Source organism: Homo sapiens, chromosome 1 (assembly GCF_000001405.40).
Source record: "Homo sapiens chromosome 1, GRCh38.p14 Primary Assembly".
NCBI lineage: Eukaryota > Metazoa > Chordata > Mammalia > Primates > Hominidae > Homo > Homo sapiens.
Window position 1 is genome coordinate 170,525,855 of NC_000001.11, and position 6,240 is coordinate 170,532,094.

The 6,240-nt window shown below is 39.0% G+C and overlaps 1 long non-coding RNA gene across 1 annotated transcript in view; it reads right to left on the reverse strand.

Annotated features, from left to right (window-relative positions):
* GORAB-AS1 (GORAB antisense RNA 1) overlaps positions 1–6,240 on the reverse strand; it is a 71,293-nt gene that overhangs the window by 64,538 nt on the left and 515 nt on the right. The gene's annotated exons all lie outside the window — the stretch shown is intronic.

Genomic DNA, 6,240 nt, shown 5'->3' on the forward strand with positions numbered 1-6,240 from the left:
ATAAAATAGAAAGCCAATAAACAATAGAAAAGTTCAACAAAACCAAAAACTTTTTGGAGAAAAATTAATAAAACTGATAAACCTCTAATGACAGTGACAAAAAAAATTTTAAAGAGAGAAGACACAAATTACCAATATCAGTAGAGAAGCGAAATCACTACAAAGTCTACAGATATTAAAAGAATGATAAGTATATGAGAGGTCTCCATGCCACCCTCAGGTTTGATGATTTGCCAGAAAGACTCATAGAACTGAGAAAAGCAGTCGTACTCACAGTTACAGTTTATCACAATGAAAGGATTCAGATTAAAATCAGCAAAATTAAAAGACACGTAGGGAAGAGTCCAGGAGAAATCAGGTGTGAGCTTACAGCTGTCCTTTCCTAGTATATTTGTGTGGACAGCACTTAATTCTCCCAGCAATTATGTGTGACAATGCATACAAAGTATTGATTGCTAACCAGGAAGCTCACTTTGACGTGTAGGATTCTTATTGGGGGTCAATCACATAGGCAGAGAGCACTCATACAACTAACTTTAGCTACCCAATCTCCAGCCCCTCCAGGCATCAAACTGATACAGCATGGCGCAGGAAGACAAACAAACAAAAACAGCCATTTACTGAATCACGTTGTTAGCATAAACTATCTGGTAAGGCCAAAAGCCCCATGTACATAAAGATGATCTTATTAGGTGGGATATTCTAAAAGCTTGGAGCTTATCTCCTAGGAGCCAGTCAAAGGCTAGTCTTTTCTTGGGCAAGTGCAGGGTTTGAGCATCCCAAGTCCACTAAGTTAACTCTTTACTGAGCAATAAAAGAGTATTATAAACAACTTTATGCCAATACATTGAAAAACTTGGATAAAATGGACAAATATCTTGAGAGAAAAAACACCAAAGTCACTCAAGAAGATTATGTGAATAGCCCTGTATCTATTAAAGTTATTAAATTTGAAGTTAAAAACTTTCCCACAAAGGAAACTCCAAATGACTTCACTGGTAAATTCTATCAAGTATATAATGAATATCAGTAGCACAGTCAGCCAAAAAATTTGAGAGACTATTTCTCAACTCATTGTGTCAGAATATTACCCTGATCCCAAATCAGACAAAGACATTACAAGAAACAGAACTACAGACAGATATCCCTCATGAACATATGTAAAATTTCTAAATAAAATATATTAACAATTAAACCCAACATATAAAAAGGATAATATATCATACCTAAATGGAGTTTATCCCAGAAATACAAGATTAGTGTAACACTGGCCACTCAATGCAATTGACTATATTAACAATATGAAAGAGAAAAATCATATGATCATCTCAATAGACTCAGAAAAAGCATGCATCAAAATCCACTATCCATTCTGAGAAAGGTTCTCGGAAAACTAGAAACAGAAAGGAATTTCATAAGCTGTTAAAGGGCATTAATGAAAAACCTAAAGTTAACATCATGCTTAATGGTGAAAGGCTTTATGTTTTTCCCTTGTGATCAGAATCAAGTCAGGGTATACAATCTCGCTTTTTCTATTCAACATTGTACTGGTGGGTCTAGCCAGTGCAATAAGGCAAAAAAGGAAATAAAAAGCAACTAGATTAGAAAAAAAAAGATGTAAAACTGTTTATTTGCAGACATGATTGTCTTTGTAGACAATCCAATGAAATCTACCAAAAAATGCGATTACAACTAATATATTTGTTTATTGTGGTCAGAGGATACAAGATCAACAATGAGTCCATTTTATTTCTATATTGTCTTAGCTCATTTGGCTACTATAAAAAAAACCTTAGACTAGATAATTTACAAACAACAGAAATTTATTGTTCAGTTCTAGAGGCTGGGGAGTCCAAGACCAAGGTGTTGGCAGATTTGGTGTCTGGTAACGGCTTGCTCTCTGCTTCATAGATGGAATCTTGTTGCTCCATATTCACATGGAAGAGGCAATCCGACTCCCTCAAGCTTCTTTTATAAGGACACTAATCCCATACATGAGGGCCCTGACCTCGTGATCAAATTACCTCCTAAAGGCCCCACCTCTTAATACTGTCACATGAAGATTAAGTTCCAGAATATGAATTTTGTGAGGTATACCAAAATTAAGACTGTAGCAGGTATAAATAACAAACTAATTAAAAATTGAAATTAAAAATAACGCTACTTATAATAGCATCGTATTTTAAAGTAAATCTGACAGGTGTGCAAGACTTACTGTTTTGAGAGCCCAGAGCTAAACTGGGGTTGTAGTACCACAGCAACCCTGACCTTACAGGAAATGAAGGGGAACTAGATATGGGTGTTTACAGAGTGCCTTTCATGGGATACTTCTTTTACCTGGTAGACATCCTAGTTGTCTGACCCACAACCAGGGGGTCCCTCACAGGGTGATCTCTTTTATACTGGCAGACACCCTTGTGGCTCTTGTCTGACCCACATCCACTCAATGCCTTTCTGACCACTGCTCTGGCACTGGGAGTCCAACCTGTGTTTCTCCAGGGCAAAACTTGGTCTGGGGTAGCCCCATGTTCTCCAGATGGAAGGCACAAATTCAATACACAACCACAATAGGAAATAAGTTCAAAGATTTTTACTTACAGATCCTGAGTAAGGAAGGCATAAGGGTTAGAAAGGCAGTCCTATATCCCCAAGTCGTAGGTAGAAATGAAGAGTCAGGCAAAGGAGCAGGGACAGGAAAGGAAGAGAGGCAACTGGCAGTATAAAAAAGGGAATTGGATGGGTCACTTTACATTCGAGGATAAATGCTGGTAAAGCAAGGAGCTCAGTCTGTAGACAGAAGAGATGAGAACTTTTAATTAGTGCTGTAAAAAGTTATAAAAAACATAGAAGTGGGCGGGTGCTACTTAGATAGGGTGGTCATAGAACGTCTATGTGAATATTTAAGGCCAAAGCGTAAAGAAGCAGGAAGAACCAGCCAGACAAGGGAAAGATAATAATTAAAGGACAGCATTTGGGAAAGCTCTGGGTAGGTAGTAGAGGATAGTAGAAAAGAGAGTCTGGTGTATTCCAAAACCCCAACGAATGCCAATTTTGGCTGGATTATAGTGAGTGCAGAGTAAAGGGAAAGACAGCCTAATGATCACATAAGAGAGGTAGACAGGGGTGAGATCATGTAGGAACATGCAGGAACTGGGATTTTATTCAAAGTGTGCTGGGAAAGCATTTTACTGTTTTGACCAGGCTACAGACACAATTAGTCTTCATTTTTATATTCTAGGCGCTCTGATGGAGAATCAACCAGAGATATTGTCTAAATTGTCATAGGTGGTCCCCTTCTATAAACACATAAAGATGCTAAATACTGTATAACATGTTCTTATTTATGTAAACAAAAAATATATATCACAGAGCCTAAAAGAAAGCAAAGAAGATGTTGAAAGGGGGGGCCTCTACCTAGATATAGGTCCTGGGGATTGGGATTCCTACACATAATTTGAAGACAAGATTGCTGAAATAAAGCTGAGTCTAGAAAAGACAGACCATATGATCACAGAGGGTTAGAAAAACTCCAGGCACAGTGGCTCATGCCTGTGATCCCAGCAAGTGGGAGGCCCAGTTGGGCAGACCGCTTGAGCTCAGGAGTTGGAGAGCAGCCTGAGCAACATGGCAAACCTCGTCTCCACAAAAAAATATAAAAATTATCCATGCATGGTAGTGGGCACCTATAGCCCCAGCTACTCTGGAGACAAAGACATGGAAGGATCGCTTGAGTCCTGGAGACAGAGGTTGCAGTGAGCTAAGATCATGCCACTGCACTCCAGCCTACGTGACAGGGTGAGACCCTGTCTTTAAAAAAAAAACAAAAACACAAAAACTTAAGACTGTTGCTTTGGAAAAGCAGTAAGGAGGCTTGCTATCTGTGAGTAATATTATTATGTTTTTTGTTTACATAAAAACATATAACATGTTTTTATTTACATAATCAAAAAATACATCATAGAACTTAAAAGAAAGCTAAAGAGATATAGAAAGGGGGATTCTATGTAAATATAGATCCTAGGGATTGGGATTCCTTCACATATTTGAAGACAAGATTGTTGAAATAAAGTTGTGTATAATTTGTATACATATAAAGGCAATTAAAAAATACTGAGACCTGAGTCCTATATCATATATGGGGGTGGGACCCAAGAACCAAATTTACAGTAGAAGCTGAAAAAATTACCTTAAATCTGGATTAAAACAACTGAAACTTTAGGACCAATAAAACCAATCTGTAGAGACACTTTCTTAACTCAAGGAAGAGAAGACTTCTGCAGAACAAAGAACTTTGAAGATAAATTCCCACTTAAATATTACACAACATTTGAAGAAACTAGCCACCATGAGGGAGAGCCAACAGAAACAACAAACAGGAGATTTAGAACCTAGCAAACTGGAAATTATAACTTTTATACAGACGGATTTTATTATCTTTTACCACGTGTCACTTTCGCTTTGGTTCTCATTAAGGGCCAATGCAAAACCTTTTAAAATATCCTAATTTACATCTTTATTAAGATTACGGATAATTTTTGAAATTCCCCCAGAGTGAACTAAAGAACATTTATGTATAAAATTCAACATGGGGCACACAAGGTGGTTTACTGTTATTAGATGAACTAGATGGCGGTTGCCTGCAACTAGGAAACTGAATTAACTACCAGATTGCCACTGATCCCCATCTACTACTTTGGAGCTAGATAATCTATAACTTGAATATACGTAGTCTATATTCAGTCTATATTCAGAAACTGGTGGTAACTGTCTCCTCCAGGCATTTTGATTGTTTAATATTATAAAAAATGAGTACATATTTAAAATGACGCATCTGCAGCATCCCCAAATTTCAGAAACCACTTTAAGTTTTAAAAGCTCGGATTTACATGGGAAATTCCAAACATCCTTCACTTTTTATCACTTACTAAATCTGAAGTACTCATTTCAACTTTTCTTGACGTGTTTTATTTTGTACTTTACTCCTTTCTTTCATTTTGTTTAAAAATATCAACACACTAAAGCCAAAGTATTTTAAAATGTAAGCCAAGATGAGGTGTTTTGTTGTTCTTACTGCAAAAATAGTGAAAGAGAACCATGAAAAATAGTATAACTAGGTCTCTCTTGAATCATCCTTATCTATGTGTATTTTGACAACGCTTGCATCTTTTAATCTTTGCAACCATATTTCAAATGAGGAAATGGGATCTCAGGTTAGTGTTCAAGGCAGAACCCGAATTACGGTATTAGGATTCCAGGCAGGATCCTAAGAAATGCTTTCCCATCCCCCAGCACCGACGTTTTACAATGTCTTCTCTGAAAAACAGATTTAAAGGGGAGACTAAGAAATCCCGGCCGGGCGCAGTGGCTCACGCTTGTAATCCCAACACTTTGGAAGCCCGAGGCGGGCGGATACCCTAAGGTCAGGAGTTCGAGACCAGCCTGGCTAACATGGTGAAACCCCGTGTCTACTAAAAATACAGAAAATTAGCCGGGTGTGGTGGCCGGCGCCTGTAATCCCAGCTACTCGGGAGGCTGAGGCGGGAGAATCGCTTGAACCCGGGAGGCGGAGGTTGCAGTGAGCCGAGATCGTGCTATTGCACTCCAGCTTGTGCAACAAGAGCGAAACTATGTCTCAAAAAAAAAAAAAAAAAAAAGTAAGAAAAAAAGAAAAAGAAATCCCTTAAGAGGAAAGTTACATATTATAATTATTCACAAAGGAAACAACCCAAAGCAAAAGAAATCTGAGAGCCGCTCCGGCCTGCGAGAGACCTGGTTATGCCTGTTCCCTTTTCATCAATTATACCCCACCCCTTTTAAATGTTTCTTCATCATCAAAATCCTAAATCTGATCATTTCCTGAGTTAATCTGAAGGAGGCCTCCAGCGCTGTGCACACTCCCAGCAAAACACAAGGATTTTAGGGCACACTAAGAGCCACAGAGAGCACCGCTCCCGCCCCACAGGTACAGGACCCCAAAGGCACTTAGATCTCCCGTTTCCGCCACCGACTTGTTGCTCCTTCCCAAATACCTGTTTATCTCCACCCTTATCCCCATCGCCATTTCCCCCCTTAGCTCCTGAAGCGATTAACCAGCAACAGTGAGAAACAATGAGAGAGAGAGAGAGTAGAGGTAAGCCAGAGGAAACGAATGTCTGCGTGGCAAGGTTTCCTTAGGCAGTTTGTCAGGCACTGCTGAAGGCAGCCTGGAAGGAAGCCGGACCCTGAGGCCGGGGAGAGAGG